General features: G+C 44.8%; 1 pseudogene; it reads left to right on the top strand.

Annotated features, from left to right (window-relative positions):
- LOC124905301 (glycoprotein Xg-like) overlaps positions 1 to 19,223 on the top strand; it is a 69,005-nt pseudogene that overhangs the window by 38,503 nt on the left and 11,279 nt on the right.

Raw genomic sequence — 19,223 nt, 5'->3', positions numbered from 1 at the left:
TTCTATAGAAGTAAAAATTGCCTTGCTGAGAAAATTCTTCATCTGAGTGCTAGTTCTTTTTTTTTGGCACCAAGGAACAAGCATTTGTTTCTAACAGTCTGGTGATAATTTCCAGGCCTTCTCCCTGTAACTGGTTGCAGAATAAAAACTCTCTTCCTCCCCAGTTCATCTGCGTCTCATTATAGGGCCATGAGAAATAGCAGCCCAACCCTTAGTTTGGTCCAGGAATATAAGGTTGGTGTTATTTTCATCACAGGCATCAAACTGTTGGTAAATTTATTCCATGACAATTCTTCCTAGATTTCTTTTTTGTATTACTTGCTTCCATCATGGCAGACAGCTACACTGGATTCTTGCCATGGAAACAAACTTCAGGAACAAAACAGAAACCTTTTTTTTTTTAAGTTTCAGGTTTCAAGGTTTTAATTCTATCTGCAAAGTGATTTTTAACTGGACAATGGTAATCTATAAACACACCATGGGCAGCAAATGAGAACAAACTGCAAGGTTGATAGACACACTGATGTGCTTGTTTCTGCAGGCTGCTCCTAAGGGAAGGACAATTTTCTTTTATAACAATGCAATGTTGTTTTCTCCATAGATATCTACCCAAAGCTAAAACCACCTTGCTACCCACAGTGTGAGAATCTCTACAGTGGTGGAAGTAAGAATCTGTGGAGTTGAAACTCTTTCTAACTCTGGTTTGATGATGTTTCCCTTTTTATTTGCTAGCAGGTTTAGCCTGGCTGCATTTGAAATACATGTGTGTAATAGCTACCTTACTGGAAATGTAGTTTCCTTCCTCACTTGGGGGTAGCAAGAAAGTTCAGTAGAGAGAAACAATCATATTTTCCCTTTTCTTTGATATCTGAAACCACTATGGCATACTTGTAACCACCCAATTTCTTCACTTTGTAGGCTGCCTAGACAGAGCTGATTTATCAAGATAGGGGAATTGTAATGGAGAAAGAGTAATCCAGGCAGAGCTGGCTCCAAGGGAGTCTGTAGTTTTATTATTACTCAAATAAGTCTCCCCAGGCATTCAGAGACCAGAGATTTTAAGGATAATTTGGTGGGTACGGGCTTGGGAAGTGGGGAGTGCTGATTGGTCAAGTTAGAAATGGAATCATAGGGGGTTGAAGTCAGGATTTCTTGCTGTCTTCTCTTCTGGGTGGATAGCAGAGCTGATAGAGCCAGAATACAGGTCTGGGTGTTGCTAGCTAATCCATCCAGTGCAGGGTCTGCAAAATATCTCAAGTTCTGATCTTAGGCTTTACAATAGTGATGTTACCCCCAGGAGAAACTTGGGGAGGTTCAGACTCTTGGAGCCAGAGGCTGCATGACCCCTAAACTGAAATTTCTAATCTTGTAGCTAATTTGCAAAGGCAGACTGGTCCCCAAGCAAGGAAGTGTTCTTTTAAGGAAAGGATTATTATCAATTTTGTTTCAGAGTTAAACCATGAACTAAACTCCTTCCCAAGGCTAGTTTGGCCCACACCCAGGAAAGAACAAGGACAACTTAAAAGGTTAGAAGCAAGATGGAGTTGGTTAGGTCTGACCTCTTTCACTGTCATCATTTCCTCAGTCATAATTTTCACAAAGGTGGCTTTATACTCAAAGGACACTTTATGTTATCATCACAGAAAGCTAATCAGGCTGAGAGACAAGTCTTTTTTCTCACTTGTTTTCAGTGCTCCAAATACCTTTGGCTTGACCATTCATGAAACCCCAAGTGTGCTGTGCATTTTCATGTGTTTTAGAGTTGGTTTCTCTCCATTTTTTGTAACATCTGGCAGACACTTTTTTCCGCAGATTTATTACTTTCATCGTTGAAAAATATGCAAGTCAAAAAAAGAAAGTGAGCAAGAGAGAAGCAGGGTTGGGGTGGAGAGACAGAAAGAGAAAGAGAGAAAAGAAAGGGGAAAGAAGAAAGGAAGAGAAAGATTCTGGCCGTTAATGTTACCAGCAGTTCAATAACCTTAAAAACTTAAATATTTGCCAGGCAGAGCAGCGTGAAGCTGGCTAAGTCAAGAGGTGTTCTGGAAGCTTCCTGGTAGCTTGTTCTGGTTTTAAACTTTCACAGCTTAACAGCATGTCCATATGATGCAGAAACAGCACATCCAGATGGATGGAAATTATCTCCTCTTACAAGGAATCATTAAAAATAGAGACCAAGACCCAAGGGAGATGACACCCACTTGAAAAACAACACCTCAGGCCAGGTGCAGGGGCTCATGCCTGGAATCCCAGCACTTTGGGAGGCCAAGGCGGGTGGATCACCTGAAGTCAGGAGTTCGAGACCAGTCTGGCCAATATGGCAAAACCCCGTCTCTACCAAAAATACAAAAATTAGTTGGGCATGGTGGCACATACCTATAATCCCAGCTACTTAGGAGGCTAAGACATGAAAATCGCTTGAACTCAGGAAAGGGTGGTTACAGTGGGCCAAGATTGCTCCACTGCACTCCAGCCTGGGCAACAGAATGAGGCTTGTCTCAAAAAACAAAACAAAACAAAACAAACCAAAACAAAACAAAACCCCAAAACACCACCTCACCCTTAACTGTATTGGTTGAGCCAGCTAGTCTTTCTTTTATCCCCCCACTTCACGATGAAAATCCCAAATACCACCCAACTTTTTTCTCCTACTATTTCCTCCTAGTCTTTTAAAAACCATTGTCCCATAGGTCATGGCTATGTTGCAAGGCAGTCATGGGAATTCCACAGGGAACGTGTTTCTTGCTGAAACAGACTTGGGAAATGCCTGGTTAAACAGACTACCTTGGACTTCCCTCCCAGAGAATTCATCAGGACTTAAAATGCATAGTTCAGCTGGGCATGGTGGCTTATGCCTGTAATCCCAGTACTTTGGTAGAGCAAGGCGGTTGGATCACCTGAGGTCAGGAGTTCAAGACCAGCCTGGCCAACATGGTGAAACCCCATCTCTACGAAAAATACAAAAATTAGTCTTGGTATGTATTTGCAGCAACTCAGAAGGCTGAGAACCTGGAGGCAGAGGTTGTAGCAAGCTGAGATGGCACCACTGCACTCCAGGTCTGGGGGACAGAGAGAGACTTTGTCTTAAAAAAAGAAAGAAAAGAAAAGAAAGCTTAAAATGCAAGATCTTTTAAGGAAGGGCATCTTCAGAGTCTGAACACTCACCTCCTTCCACAGCAAAGTGACTCATGAACCCCAGTAGGAGGAGGAGTAGGGGAAGAGAGGCTCAGGCTGGGGAGGTGACCCCCCATGACTCAAGCCTCAATCTCCTGATGCTTGCCTTGACAAAGAGGAGGCTTCCTTTCCGACTTTGGTTTTTCATGTTGTGCTTAAATCCAGCCACGCTGATGCCTTTAACATGGCAGTCCTGAATTATTAATTAATACCGTGTGAATCCAAAATATCTGAGACAGGTCTCAATCAGTTTACAAAGTTTATTTTGCCAAGGTTAAGGACATGCCCGTGACACAGCCGCAGGAGGTCCTGATGACAAGTGCTCAAAGTCTTCAGGACACAGCTTGGTTTACACATTTTAGGGAGACATGAGATATCAATCAATATATATAAGAAGTACATTGGTTCGATCTGGAAATGCGGGACAACCGGAAGCAGGGGCTTCCAGGTCATAGGAAGTTAAGAGACAACTAGTTGCCTTCTTCCAAGTCCTTGATTGGGCTTTCACTGATAACTCAATTTACATGTGAGACAGGGCAAAGGAATCGTTACTTATACCTCAGTCTGGCCCAGTGAATCTGCATTTTTACATCAATAATAGGGCAGAGGGAGAAATCAGACATGTGTGTCTCAGGGGAGCAGAGGGGATGACTTTCTGTCCCACACCCGTGAAGATGAGCTATCAGTGTACATTGCCAGGGTGAAATTCCACAGAACTGTTTTAGGGTAAACAAAACAATCTACTCAAGTTGTGAGGACAGTATGTAGCTTTTAAAAAACTTAAAAAAAATTATTTTTTGTAGTTATCGTATTTAGAAAGAAAATGGGAGGCAGGGCTGACTGACATTTTTTTTCTGGGTTGATTTTTCCCTTGGCTTAATATTTTGGGGTCCCAAGATAAATAATTATTTTCCTTTCATAATTGGACATGAGAACATGGAGTATTTGGCACAGGAAATGGTCAAATTTAACCTACGCACCCAAGGAAGAGGAAACATGAAGCTGGTTGGAACATAGCTACAGATACTGTGGTACATGAGCAGAAATTCCCCTTAACCAGTGTTCCTGCCCAGGATATCCCAAATGAGCCTAGGCTAGCCTAGGTTCTCAAATGTGTATGTTGAGAAGGAAGAAGTGCCCTAGAAAGTAATGTGTAAAGTCCCTTCAATACGGGGTGGAACGTTCTCTCAGACAACGAAGGCAATCGCTTATGGGCAACATTGGGAAGACCCCAGAGATGGAATGTTCTAGGCCTTTCCATGTTCTCTTTCTTATTCTTCCTCCAGTGACTTGACAGGTGGCTGGGGGATTTATAAGTATTCACCACACACCAACCAGCTTTCTCAGGATGACTCCGGGCATGCTTGGAGCCCAGTGGTCTCTTTCCCTTAGAATTTGATCTGGAGGAACCCAAGATTCTCTCTGTGTCCTTTGAAATTCAGCACATTTTTCTTGGCTTCCCTGAGTCCCTGAGGCATTTCTCAGCCCAACTGTTGACTCTGCTTCTCATGTCTGTGCTTGTCCCTTTGAGAGATGTCAGCATTGTTTACCGATTCTTTTCTCTGACCACAACAGCTCCTATCCATGTTTTTTTTTTTTCTTTTTTTCAGACTGAGTCTCACTCTATTGCCTAGGCTGGAGTGTAATGGCATGATGTCATGATCTTAGGTCGCTGTAACCTCCACCTCCTAGGTTCAAGTGGTTTTCCTTCCTCAGCTTCCCAAGTAACTGAAATTACAGGCATGCGACACCATGCCCAGCTGATTTTTGTATTTTCGGTTGAGACGGGTTCCACCATGTTGACCAGGATGGTCTCAAACTCCTGACTTCATGATCCAACCCCCTCTTGGCCTCCCAGAATGCTAGGTTTCACTCACATCCATGTGAAGAGACCACCAAACAGGCTTTGTGTAAGCAACAAGGCTGTTTATTTCACCTGGGTGCAGGTGGGCTGAGTCCGAAAAGAGAGTTAGCAAAGGGAGATAGGGGTGGGGCCGTTTTATAGGATTTGGGTAGGTAAAGGAAAATTACAGTCAAAGGGGGTTGTTCTCTGGCAGGGGCGGGGGTCACAAGGTGCTCAGTGGGGGAGTCTTGTGGGGAAAAGAGAGAGAGATCAGATTGTTACTGTGTCTGTGTAGAAAGAAGTAGACATAGGAGACTCCACATTGTTCTGTACTAAGAAAAACTCTTCTGCCTTGAGATGCTGTTAATCTATAACCTTACCCCCAATCCTGTGCTCTCTGAAACATGTGCTGTGTCCACTCAGCGTTAAATGGATTAAGGGCGGTGCAAGATGTGCTTTGTTAAACAGATGCTTGAAGGCAGCATGCTCGTTAAGAGTCTTCACCACTCCCTAATCTCAAGTACCCAAGGACACAAACACTGCGGAAGGCCGCAGGGACCTCTGCCTAGGAAAGCCAGGTATTGTCCAAGGTTTCTCTCCATGTGATAGTCTGAAATATGGCCTTGTGGGAAGGGAAAGACCTGACCGTCCCGCAGCCCAACACCCGTAAAGGGTCTTTGCTGAATTGGATTAGTATAAGAGGAAGGAATGCCTCTTTGCAGTTGAGACAAGAGGAAGGCATCTGTCTCTTTCTCGTCCCTGGGCAATGGAATGTCTCAGTATAAAACCCGATTGTATGTTCCATCTACTGAGATAGGGGAAAACCGCCTTAGGGCTGGAGGTGGGACATGCGGGCAACAATACTGCTCTGTAAGGCATTGAGATGTTTATGTGTATGCATATCTAAAGCACAGCACTTAATTCTTTACCTTATCTATGATGCAGAGAACTTTGTTCACGTGTTTATCTGCTGACCTTCTCTCCACTATTATCCTATGACCCTGCCACATCCCCCTCTCTGAGAAACACCCAAGAACGATCAATAAATACTAAGGGAACTCAGAGGCTGGTGGGATCCTCCATATGCTGAACACTGGTTCCCTGGGTCCCCCTATTTCTTTCTCTATACTTTGTCTCTGTGTCTTTTTCTTTTCCAAGTCTCTCATTCCACCTAAGGAGAAGCACCCAGAGGTGTGGAGGGGCAACCCACCCCTTCAGCCTTTGAGCCAGGAGAAGGAATTTTACAAGGTAGTGTCATCAGTTAAGGCAGGGACTGGCCATTTTCACTTCTTTTGTGGTGGAATGCCATCAGTTAAGGCACAAACAGGCCATTTTCACTTCTTTTGTTATTCTTCAGTTACTTTAGGCCATCTGGATGTATACATGCAGGTAACATGTATACATATATGTTGTATGTATATGATGGCTTAGCTTGGGGTCAGAGGCCTGACACTAGGATTACCGGCGTGACCCACCATGTCTGGCTCCATGTTGTCTTAAAAGTAGCAAGACAGGCAAGGATTCCATTTGATGCAATCTGTTATGAGATAAATTAAGTCTCCCCACAAATTCAGAGCGTGAAGTCCTAACTCCCAGTTTCCTCAGAATATGATTGTCTTTGGAGACAGGGTCTTTAAGGAGGAGATTAAGGTAAAATAAGGTCACTAGAGTGGGTCCTGACCCAATAGGACTGGTATCCTAATAAGAAGAGATGAGGATATAGACACACACAGAGGAAAGATTATATGAAGACACAGGGAGAAGACGGCATCTACAAGCCCAGGAGAGAGGCCTTAGGAGGCCAGACCAGCTCACACCTTGATCTCAGACTCCTAGCCTCCAGGACTTCCGGAGAATCAATCTCTATTGTTTACAAGCCTCCCAGTCTATAGTATTCTGTGATAGCAGCCTGAAATGGACTAAGACACCTCATACGAAGAGGAGATGAGGACACAGACACACACAGAGGGACGACCCTGTGAGGACACACGGAGAAGATGGTGTCTACAAGCCAAGGAGAAAGGCCTCAGCAGTAAGCCCAGGAATCAATGCAGTTGGTGATTCTGTGTGTGAATGGAGGAGGGAAGCTCACAGAAGAAGGCATTTTGAGGGAGGACTGACCTTAAAGTGAGGTACCAAGAGACTTCCTGAACCAAGCCACCAATATGCAGCTCATGAGCTCTGGGCAGTGCCTTCTGGCCTGGAAACCAAAGCTCCCTTGTGTCCCATCCCCACTCTCTCTTTGGCCCCCAAGTTTCCATAATTTCCCACATTTGTATCATTTTAGAGACTTCAAAAGAGAGTCTAGACTGGGTGTTGTGGCTCACGTCTGTAATCCCAGCCCTTTCAGAGGCTGAAGTGGGTGGATCATCTGAAGTCAGGATTTCAACACGAGCCTGGCCAACATGGTGAAACCCTGACTCTCCTAAAAATACAAAAATTAGCTGGGCATGGTGGTGCATACCTGTAATGCCAGCCACTCAAGAGGCTGAGGCAGGAGAATTGCTTGAATCCGGGAGGTGGTAGTGGCAGTGAGCTGAGATAGCACTACTGCACTCCGGCCTGGGCAGCAGAGCAAGACTCTGTCTCAAAAAACAACAAAAAAAGAGAATCTTGGCAAGGCATGATACTCCATGCCTGCAGTCCCAGCTATACTCAGAAGGCTGAGGCAGGAGGATCACTTGAATCCAGGAGGTGGAGGCTGCAGTGAGCTATGATTGCACCACTGCACTCCAGCCTAAGCAACAGAGTAAGACCCTGTCTCAAGAGAGAAAGAGAAAGAGAGAGAGACTATTTTGAGAAGTGAAAAACTAGTCATTCTCAGCCTAGATTTCCAGTGTTCTGAGACGTCTGTCCTGAGGAAGGACTTTGAGAACAGCACCCTTGCCTTTTTTGTGAATTAAAGTAATTTCACTCTTGAGCCAATGTGGATAAGCACTTGCCAGGTACTGGCAGTGCCAGGTACCAGGAATATAAAATGGGTACAGAAAATAAAGTTTCTAGTCCAGCGACAAAAAAGGTGCTGAAGATACAGACTCATGTTGTACAAAGAGCTTGCACTGATTATTTCATTTCGGCTGCTTGAATCGGGTCAAAAGACATTTAAGCTGAGACAGGAGGGACGAGCTAATGTTTTTCCAGGTGACAAATGTGTTCTTCAAATATTTAGGGAGCATGTAAAGTGGTGGACAGGGAACAGGAGGGGTCATGACTGAAGTAATGTCACCTGCAAAAGTCCTGGGGCAGGGCTGGGAGTGGGGGCTCATGCTTGTAATCCCAGCACTTTGCGAGGTTAAGGTGGGCAGATCACCTGAGGTCAGAAGTTCGAGACCAGCCTGGCCAACATAGTGAAACCCCATCTCTACTAAAAATACAAAAATTGCCCAGGCATGGTGGTGCCCACCTACAATCTCAGCTACTCGGGAGGCAGAGGCATGAGAACTGTTTGAACCCAGGAGGTGGAGGTTGCAGTGAGCCAAGATTGTGCCACTGCACTCCAGCCTGGGCAATAGAGTAAGACTGCATCTTAAAAAAAATGTCCTGGGGCAGAAAGCTGATGGTAAACTTCAGGAACATGTAAAAGTCATTACAAAAAGTTTTAAGAAATTTAAATGAAGCCAGACTCAGTGTGGCTCAGGCCTATGATGATTCTAGCTCTTTGGGAAGGCAAGATGGGACAATTGCTTGGGGCCAGGAGTTTGAGACCAGCCTGGGCAACAAAGCAAGACGCTGTCTCTACAAAAATTTTAAAAAATTAGCCAACCATGGTGGTGTGCACCTGTAGTCTGACCTACATGGGCGGCTGAGGTGGGAGGATTGTTTGAGCCCAGGAAGTTGAGGCTGCAGGGAGCTATGATTGCACCACTGCACTCCAGCCTAGGCAACAGAGCAAGACTCTGTCTCAAAACAAACAACAACAAAACAAATTCAAATGAAAGGGTGTAACTCAAGCAAGATGGAAATATAACACACTATCAAAAGGTCAGATGTTTCATCCTAATATTGGTGAGTGACTTCTATAAACCATGCTGGCATTTGTAATGGCCCTAAACAGGGAAAGGTCAACAACACACTTCCTGCCCTGTTAATTTCAGAGAGCCTTGGACTTCTTGCAAAAGGACCAAGGGAGTAAGTTTAGGGTACAAAAATAGAAGTTTATTTTTTTAATTGTAAGCTCTGAGGTGGTATTGTGAATATTGTCTACATGATTAATAAGCTCCTTAAAAGCGATGGATGGTTACACCTTTTCTGTATTTTGGCATTCTTGTTTATAGATGGTATTTCCCCGAAAGATATCATTATTTTCTGAAATCATCCTGTTGTTTCCCAACAGATATCTACCCAAAGCTGAAGCCATGCCCTCAACCCCAGCAATTCTGGCAACAGTGGAGGTAATGAGTATTTTTTATTTATTTTTATTTTTTTATTTTAGTATTTTATTTCATTCTATGTTATTTTACTTTATTTTAGTATTTTATTTGATACTATGTTATTTTACTATTTTATTTTATTGTTTATTTTGGAGACAGTGTCTCGCTCTGTTGCCCTGGCTGGAGTGAAGTGATGTAATCGCAGCCTCGAACTCCTGGGCTCAAGCAATCTTCCTCCCTCAGCCTTTCAAGTAGCTGGGACTACAGAGGTGCACCAGCATGTGTGGCTATTTTTAAAATTTTTTGCAGAGACAGGATCTTGCTATGTTGTCCAGGCTAGTCCTGAACTCCTGGTCTCAAACAGTCTTCTGCCTCAGTCTCCCAAAATACTGGGATTACAGGCACAAGCTATTGTGGCCCAGCCTGATAATGAGTATTAAAATCCATTTTAGAAGTGTTTGGGGCCAGGCACAGTGGCTCATGCCTGTAATCCCAGCATTTTGGGAAGCCAAGGTGGGCAGATCACTTGAGGTCAGGAGTTTGACACCAGCCTGAGCAACATGGTGAATCCCTGTGTCTACTAAAAATACAAAAATTCGCCGAGCATAGTGGCACATGCCTGTAATCCCAGCTACTTGGGAAGCTGAGGCAGGAGAATCACTTGAACCCACAAAGTGGAGGCTGCTGTGAGCCGAGATCACACCACAGCACTCCAGCCTGGAAGACAGAGCAAGACCCTGTCTCAAAAAAAAAAAAAAAAAAAAAATGTTCTTCACACCTGTAATCCCAGCACTTTGGGAGGCCAGGGTCTCTTCAGATGGATTACCTGAGTTCGAGACCAGCAGCCAACATGGTGAACCCGTTTCTACTAAAAATACAAAATTAGCTGGGCAGAGTGACGCCTGCAGGTAGGTGCTGAGCCTCTCCACATGCGACACGTTGAATTTGTGCAGAGAAGGTGGGATGAGAGGCCTGAGATTGGGGAAAAGTTGGTCACGGGTAGACTACAGGCTAGTGCAGGGGATGAAGGAGAAGGCTCCATGGCTGTATCAGTGGGGTTTGCAGTCTGGGCATCTGTCTTCTTCCCCAGGCTAGTGAATTGGATGGAAACAAAATGAAAAGGTAGACCTGGAGGGTCCACTGAAACACTTGTGGTCATTTCTGTTTAGACTTGTATATGTGTAAGTGTGGGTGTATATGTCCAGACACACCTTTGTGTATCTGCATGCTTATCAATCTTCATTTGTGTGTATATAAATGTTTATATATCTTTATATTTGTGTGTATATTACTTTTAAATGGATATAAATACATTTGCATATGTAGGTATATGGGTTTTTTCATGTGTATAAATACATGCTTTTGTATATATACACTATGTAGATACCTTTCTATGTTTTTATATATGTATATTCCTGACTTTATATGTATGCCTATGTATATCTTTACATAGGTACATGATTTATATCTGTATATATCTTTATATGCAGATATATGTTTTTATATATATTTATGTATTTATATGTATATCTTTTAATATATCTTTTTAAAATATATATCTTCATGTATATCTTTAAATACATATACATTTTATATACATTTTTATATTTTATGTGTGTTATATATATCTTTACATATATAATTAAATATATTCCTTTATGTATATTTTACATATGTACATACATACCTTTATGTCTATTTGCTTTTATATATGTATGTATATATTTATATATACACTTTTATAAATACATATGTTTTTCTTTATATGTGTGTATAAATGTACCTATGTACACATACACATATACCTTTATGTGTATATACTTTTATATATGTTATATATACACAAAACTTTATATATACATGTGTATATATCTTTATATAGGTATATAAATGTCTTTATATATGTATCTAACTATATATATACACATACATTTTTGAGATGGAGTCTCACTCTGTTGCCCAGGCTGGAGTGCAGTGGCATGACTGTGGCTCACTACAACCTCTGCCTCCCGGGTTCAAGCAATTCTCTGCCTCAGACTCCTAAGAAGCTTGGATTACAGGTGCTGCTAGCACGCCCTGCTAATTTTTGTATTTTTAGTAAAGATGGGGCTTCACCATTTTGGCCAGGTTGGTCCTGAACTCCTGACTTCCTGATCCACCCGGCTTGGCCTCCCAATGTGCTGGGATTACAGGTGTGAGCCACTGCAACTGGTCTATATGTATATCTTTTAATGTATCTTTATATATATCTTTAATATAACCTTATATACATCATATACATTTTATATTTTATGTGTATGTTATATAAATATATATTTTTATACATATATAATTATATCTTTATATATCTTTATATATGTACATATATACCTTTATGTATCTATGCATACATTTATATATACACTTTTATATATGCATATGTCTTTATATGTATAAATATCTTCATAAATGTATTTATATATCTATATATAACCTTTATATATGTATACATATCTTATATAAGTATATATTTTATGTGTATATATGCATTCTTCGTATATACACACTTTTGTATATGTCTTTCCATATATGTATGCATATATAGCTTACATATGTTTCCATATTTATATGTATGTGTGTACCTTTATATATGTATGCATACTGTTTTATATATGTGTGTATAGGTCCCTTCATGTATATGTGTATATACATTTAGGTATTTTTGTGTGTGTGTGTGTGTATACCTTTATATATGTACGTGTATCTTTATACACACAGACATATATAAACACTTCTAATATAAAATTTTCTCTATAATTGGAGGTGAATGTCTGCCAAGAATCTTTCATATAGAAATACAAGTACAGACAATAGGAGATAGAGATGCATGCAACATTGGGCTGAAGAGTGTGATGTTTGAGGCTTTATTTTCAAGCATGTGAGATTTCTGGTCTGTTTAGTTCTGCAATATTATTTTAGAAGACGTAAAGGACTTGTCCCAGCTGTTTTGCAAAGCTGGATCTGCATCCTTCAGACAACCAGATTGCATCCAGTCACCTTTTCTGCCGTGTTTACTTGCAATAAATAAAAGCACTGTCTTAGAATTTATTACAATAACGATCAGGAATAAATTAAAAATTACTAGTTATTTTTGAAAGGAGAAACTGAGAACATTTAAGATTGAGACCATCTGCTGGAAGGTCCTCCTAATCCGGCGTCGGGGTGGCTGATCTCATATCAGTTTCTCGGCAGGAAGCGGGTGCGCCTGCGTGAATTTGGAGTCCCCAGGGTAAATGTTAGTCCCGTGACGGCAAGTGTTTTTGATAGCTAGAGCTCAGTGTTGGCATGAGTTTTCCCACGGGGAAGAGGAAGCTTTGGTGGGGCCACCCTTGACTCTCCCCTGCTGGTCACTCTTTGGAGCTCTCTTGGCAGTGACACGTTCACACGACTTGTTGCCATTCCCAACGAGCTGGACAGACCAACACCTGCAGGAAACCCCACGCTCGGACACCTGAACATCCCTCAGCTCTACCTTCTCTGTCTAACAGGAGGTGGTGGCGGTGGCTACTCCAGTTATAACAAGTTCGGCAACACGCACGGTGCCCCCACATCTAGGCACGCGGTGGGCGGAGGGCCAGATGGGTCATCTTTCTAGGGCTCCCAGTTGCATTCTGCCCTGGGCCTTCTACCTAGAGTCTTTGGTGAGTAGGGTGCTGTGTGCTGGTGTCTGGTCTTCTGAGAACCTGTCTGTGCTGGGCTGTTCCGCTTCTGTTCCCCAGGAGGGTGGGTGCAGCCACACATACACACACGCATACATGCACGCACACACACACACACACCCCTTTAGGTAAAAGTAAACAGAGCAAAGAACTATACAACTAATTACAGAGAGAGAGTAGGGGCGCAGTTCACTTACTTCAAACAGAATAGAAAACACTTTCAATGGCCGGGCGCGGTGGCTCATGCCTGTCATCCCAGCACTTTGGGAGGGCGAGGTGGGAGCGATTGCTTGAGCCCAGGAGTTTGAGACCAGCCTGGGCAACATGGCAAAACCCTGTCTCTACAAAAAATATATATATATGCAAAAATTAGCCAGGCGTGGTGGCACGTGCCTGTACTTCCAGCTACTCAGAAGGCGGAGGTAGGAGGATCCCTCTAGCCCAGGAGGTCCAGGCTTCAGTGAGCAGAGAGAGATAAGATCCTGCCGGCCGTGCGTGGTGGCTCTCGCCTGTAATCCCAGCACTTTGGGAGGCCGAGCTGGGCGGATCACAAGGTCGGGAGATAGAAACCATCCTGGGTAACACGGTGAAACCCCATCTCTACTAAAAATACAAAAAATTAGCCGGGCGTGGTGGCAGGCACCTGTAGTCCCAGCTACTCGGGAGGCTGAGGCAGGAGAATGGCTTGAACCTGGGAGAAGGAGCTTGCAGTGAGCCGAGATCGCACCACTGCACTCCAGCCTGGGCGACAGAGCGAGACTCCATCTCAAAAAACAAACAAAAAGATTGTGCCACTGTACTCCAGCTTTGGTGACAGACTGAGATCCTGTCTCAAAAAAAAAATTAATAATAATAATAAATAAATAAATAAAAGAAAAGAAAAAAGCAAGAAAACACTTTTGGGTGGTGGTTATGCCCAGAATTAAAGCAGTGTTCTACAGGAGCCATAAACAGGGGTTCTTCGCTTGGTTGAGTTTAACATTTTCTCTTTGTTAACAGTTTTGCACACCTTCAATGAATTGAGTAACCATCTTTTCTTTCTTTTTTTTTTTTTGAGACAGGGTTTCACTTGTTGCCCGGGCTGGAGTGCAGTGGTGCAATCTCTGCTCACTGCAACCTTGGCCTCCCGGGTTCAAATGATTCTCCTGCCTCAGCCTCCAAGTAGCTGGGATTACAAGCATGTGCCACCAGCTCCCCCTAATTTTTGTATTTTTAGTAGACACAGGGTTTCACCATGTTGGTCAGATTGGTCTTGAACTCCTGACCTCAGGTGATCCATCTGCCTCAGCCTCCCAGAGCGCTGGGATTACAGGCATGAGCCACTGTGCCTGGCTAATTTTTTTAGTTTTAATAGAGACGGGGTTTTACCATGTTGGTCAGGCTGGTCTTGAACTCCTGACCTCAGGTGATCTGCTCTCTTCAGCCTCTCATAGTGCTGGGGTTACAGACGTCAGCTACTGCACCCAGCCTTGAGTAACCATCTTTTTGGTTAAAACTAATACATGCCCCTCTCCCTCTCCCTCTTCCCCTCCCCCTCCCCCTCCTTCTGTCTCCCTCTCCCTCTTCTTTCTACGGTCTCCCTCTCTTGCCCAGCCTGGACTGTACTGCCATGATCTCAGCTCGCTGCAACCTCCCTGCCTTGGGCTCCCGTGATTCTCCTGCCTCGGCCTGCCCAGTGCCTGGGATTCCAGGCACGCGCCGCCACTCCTGACTGGTTTTTGTATTTTTGATGGAGACGGGGTTTCGCCATGTTGACCAGGCTGGTCTCCAGCTCCTGGCCTTGGGTGATCTGCCTGCCTCGGCCTCTCGAGGTGCTGAGATTGCAGACGGAGTCTTGCTCAGTCAGTGCTCAGTGTTGCCCAGGCTGGAGTGCAGTGGCGTGATCTCGGCTCACTACAACCTCCACCTCCCAGCCGCCTGCCTTGGCCTCCCAAAGTGCTAAGATTACAGCCCCTGCCCGCCCGCCACCCCGTCTAGGAAGTGAGCAGCATTTCTGCCTGGCCGCCCATGGTCCAGGATGTGAGGAGCCCCTCTGCCCGGTCGCCCCATCTGGGAAGTGAGGAGCACCTCTGCCTGGCTGCCACCCCATCTAGGAAGTGAGGAGCGCCTCTGCCCGGCCACCCCGTCTGGGAAGTGAGGAGAGCCTCTGCCCGGCCACCCTGGCTGGGAGGTGAGGAGCGCCTCTGCCTGGCCACCCGGTCTTGGAGGTGAGGATCGCCTCTGCCTGGCTGCCCATCATCTGGGATGTGAGGAGCGCCTCTGCCCAGCCGCCCCATCTGGGAGGTGAGGAGCACCTCTGCCCAGCCACCACCGCGTCTGGGAGGTGAGGAGTGCCTCTGCCCGGCCGCCACCCCGTCTGGGAAGTGAGGAGTGCCTCTGCCCGGCTGCCCTGTCTGGGAAGTGAGGAGTGCCTCTGCCTGGCTGCCCCGTCTGGGAGGTGAAGAGTGCCTCTGCCTGGCCGCCACGTCATCTGGGAAGTGAGGAGACCCTCCGCCCAGCCACCCCGTCTGGGATTTGAGGAGCGCCTCCGCCCGGCCACCCCGTCTGGGAGGTGAGGAGCACCTCTGCCCGGCTGCCACCGCGTCTGGGATGTGAGGAGCGCCTCTGCCTGGCCGCCCCTTCTGGGAAGTGAGGAGCGCCTCTGCCCGGCCGCCACCGCGTCTGGGATGTGAGGAGCACCTCTGCCTGGCCGCCCTGTCTGGGAGGTGAGGAGCGCCTCTGCCCGGCCGTCACCCCATCTGGGAAGTGGGGAGCGCCTCTGCCCTGCTGCCCATCATCTGGGAAGTGAGGAGCACCTCTGCCTGGCCGCCCTGTCTGGGAAGTGAGGAACGCCTCTGCCCGGCCGTCCCGTCTGGGAAGTGAGGAGTGCCTCTGCCCGGCCGCCCCATCTGGGAGGTGTACTCAACAGCTCCGAAGAGACAGCGACCAGGGAGAATGGGCCATGATGACGTGGCGGTTTTGTCGAAAAGAAAAGGGGGAAATGTGGGGAAAAGAAAGAGAAATCAGATTGTTACTGTGTCTGTGTAGAAAGAAGTAGACATGAGAGACTCCATTTTGTTCTGTACTAAGAAAAATTCTTCTGCCTTGGGATGCTGTTAATCTATAACCTTACCCCCAACCCTGTGCTCTCTGAAACATGTGCTGTGTCCACTCAGGGTTAAATGGATTAAGGGTGGTGCAAGATGTCCTTTGTTAAACAGATGCTTGAAGGCAGCATGCTCGTGAAGAGTCATCACCACTCCCTAATCTCAAGTACCCAGGGACACAAATACTGCGGAAGGCCGCAGGGTCCTCTGCCTAGGAAAACCAGAGACCCTTGTTCACATGTTTGTCTGCTGACCTTCCCTCCACTATTATCCTATGACCCTGTCACATTCCCCTCTCTGAGAAACACCCAAGAATGATCAATAAATACTAAAACAAACAAACAAACAAAAACTAATACGTGCCAAGAGCTCTGGTAATGTGGGAAGTACTTTTTTCTTTTCTTTTCTTTTCTTTTTTTTGATATAGTCTGATTAGGCTTTGTGAGAGCCAAGGCTCTTGGCCCCCTAAGTTTTCTCTGAATCACTGAAATGAGGCAGCTTAATTAACAGGAGAAAAAAACGTATAAATTTATTGAGTGGATATACATGCAAACCTTCAGAACCAAGACTCAATCACCAATGGGATGCAAAAGCTTATAGACCATCTTTTTTAACTTTGATGTTAGGTTCAGGGGTCCTTGTGTAGCATTGTTATATAGGTAAATTGTTTGTCACAGGGGATTGGTGTACAGATTATGTCATCACCCAGGTAATAAGCATAGTACCTGATAGGTAGTTTTCCCATCCCCACTCTCCTCCCACCCTCTGCCTTCAAGTAGGCCCTGGTGTCTGGTGTTCCCTTCTTTGTGTCTATGTTGTCAATCAAGAAAAATGATGAGACGAGTGTAAAAGATTTATTTGCCAAAGTTAAGGTTAAGGACATGCACCCAGGAGACAGGTCTGTGGCCTTCTCCGAAGACGATTTTGAAGGCTGCAAATTTAAAGGGGAAAGGGCGGGAAATTAAGAAGTACATAATTTTCATGGAAGAGGTGGGTAGGGAAAATAGTTATTCATGCTTTTGTCTGGCTCAGTGAATCTGTGTTTTTTACATAAGATGACATAGACAAATGGGGTAGAGGGAAAATGCAGGGAATCTGCATGCTGCATAAGATAATCTGGACAAAATGGGGCAGGGGAGCAATCACATATGATTTGTGTCTGGTGGGTGGGGGTTACTGCACCTGTAAAGATAAGCTATCGATATACATTGTCATGGTGAAATCTTAACAGCTCATTAGGATTTTCCTTGTGGGCAAAATATGGGGGAGACATGTAGCTTTTCATCTTGTAGCCATTTTATTTAGGAACCAAAAGGGGGAGGCAGGTTTGTGTGACCCACTTCCCAGCTTGACTTTTCCCTTTGACTAAATGAGTTCAGGATCACAAAATTTAATTTCCTTTCACAATGCGTACTCTGTGTTTAGCTCCCACTTGTAAATGAGAACACATGGTATTTGGTTTTCTGTTCCCGCATTAGTTTGCTTAGGAGAATGGCCAGCAGCTCTATCCATGTTGCTGCAAAGGACATGATCTTGTTCTTTTTTATGGATGTGTAATATTCCACAATGTATATGGGCCACATTTTCCTTGTCCAGTCTACCATTGATGGGAACCTAGGTTGATACCATGACTTTGCTATTTGAATTTGCTATTTGCTGTTCTTTGCAGGAAGAATGTGGGCTCAGAGCATGGCCCCAAATAGGTGATGTTGGTAAAGCAGGTTTAATGGGTGGCAAGCCAGGTGATGAGAGGGAGACAGGAAGAGGCCTGCTTAGCAAGGGGGTCCTTGTTATGCAGATGAAGGTTCCCAGGTAGCAGCCATTAGAGACGACCATGGTAAATGTTTCTTTTTAGACCTGTAAAGGTGTCAGAGTCTCCGTTTCTCTCTCCTACATCCAGGAAAAGCTTAGAAAGGGAAGGCCTGGCTGCAACAGCAAAGATCCTCTACAGATGCCAATTTCCCCACCTCAGTCTGCTGGTCCTGGAGCGGCAATTTCAAAATAAGGCAAAGCAATATATTTTGGAGTAAAATTTTTTGATGTCCGTCATCTTCATTACACTCTGAAGCGAGTATTGTCATCAGATCCATTTAACAAAATGAAAACAATGCACGACACTCAACCGTCCACTTCAAAGGAGCAATAGCTGTGGCCCTATATGTAGCCCATCCTCAGAACTCACTTCCTATGACACAGACAAGCTTCAGGGTGGGAGGGGGCTCATGACAAGGTGCTTATTACCTGAGGTCAAGAACTGTCCACTTTTGGCCGGGCATGGTGGCCCACGCCTGTAATCCCACGCCAAGGTAGGTGGACCGCTTGAGTTCAGGAGTTCAAGATCAGCCTGGGCAAAATAGTGAAACCCTGCCTCTACCAAAAAAAAAAAAAAAAAAAAAAAAAAAAAAAAAAAAAAAAAGCAAAAATTAGCTGGGCATGGAAGTGTGTACCTGTGGTCCCAGCTAGTCAGGAGTTTGAAGTGACCCTGGAAGTTTGAGGCTGCAGTGAGCCATGATAGCACCACTGCCTTCCAGCCTGGGCCATGGAATGTCTCAAAACAAAAAAAGAACACAAAAAAAGAATTGACCACCTTCAACTCCACATATTATGGGTTCCTTCCACCATCTTTCTGTAACTACCTAAGGGGTTCCCCTTACCTACTACCTAGATAGACCTGATTTATTAAGACAGGAATTACAATAGAAAAAGAGTTTAATTCACACAGAGCTGACTGAACGGGAACCTGTGAAGCAGCTATGCTGTCTGGGGTACATACCCTGGGGTTCATTGTCACATCCTGAGAAAGAATTCAGGACACGGACACATGTGAGTGGGTTAAGGAGTTGAAAGTTTGATAGAAGAAAGGAGAGAGGAGAGCATCTTCTTGTGAGAGAGAGAGAGAAACGTCTGAAAAAGTTGGGAGGTTGTGGACCACAGCAGCTTTTATAGGCAGGCTGGAGGAGGCGGTGTCTGATTTACACAGGGCTCACAGATTGGTTCAATCAGGTATGACTTCTACATAGTGTGTGGGGAAGGCTGGTGGCCCCACCCTAATCTT

The sequence above is a fragment of the Homo sapiens genome, chromosome Y (assembly GCF_000001405.40).
Source record: "Homo sapiens chromosome Y, GRCh38.p14 Primary Assembly".
Classification (NCBI taxonomy): domain Eukaryota; kingdom Metazoa; phylum Chordata; class Mammalia; order Primates; family Hominidae; genus Homo; species Homo sapiens.
The sequence above is the reverse complement of the archived record's forward strand: the minus strand, read 5'-3'. Positions and strand labels throughout refer to the sequence as shown.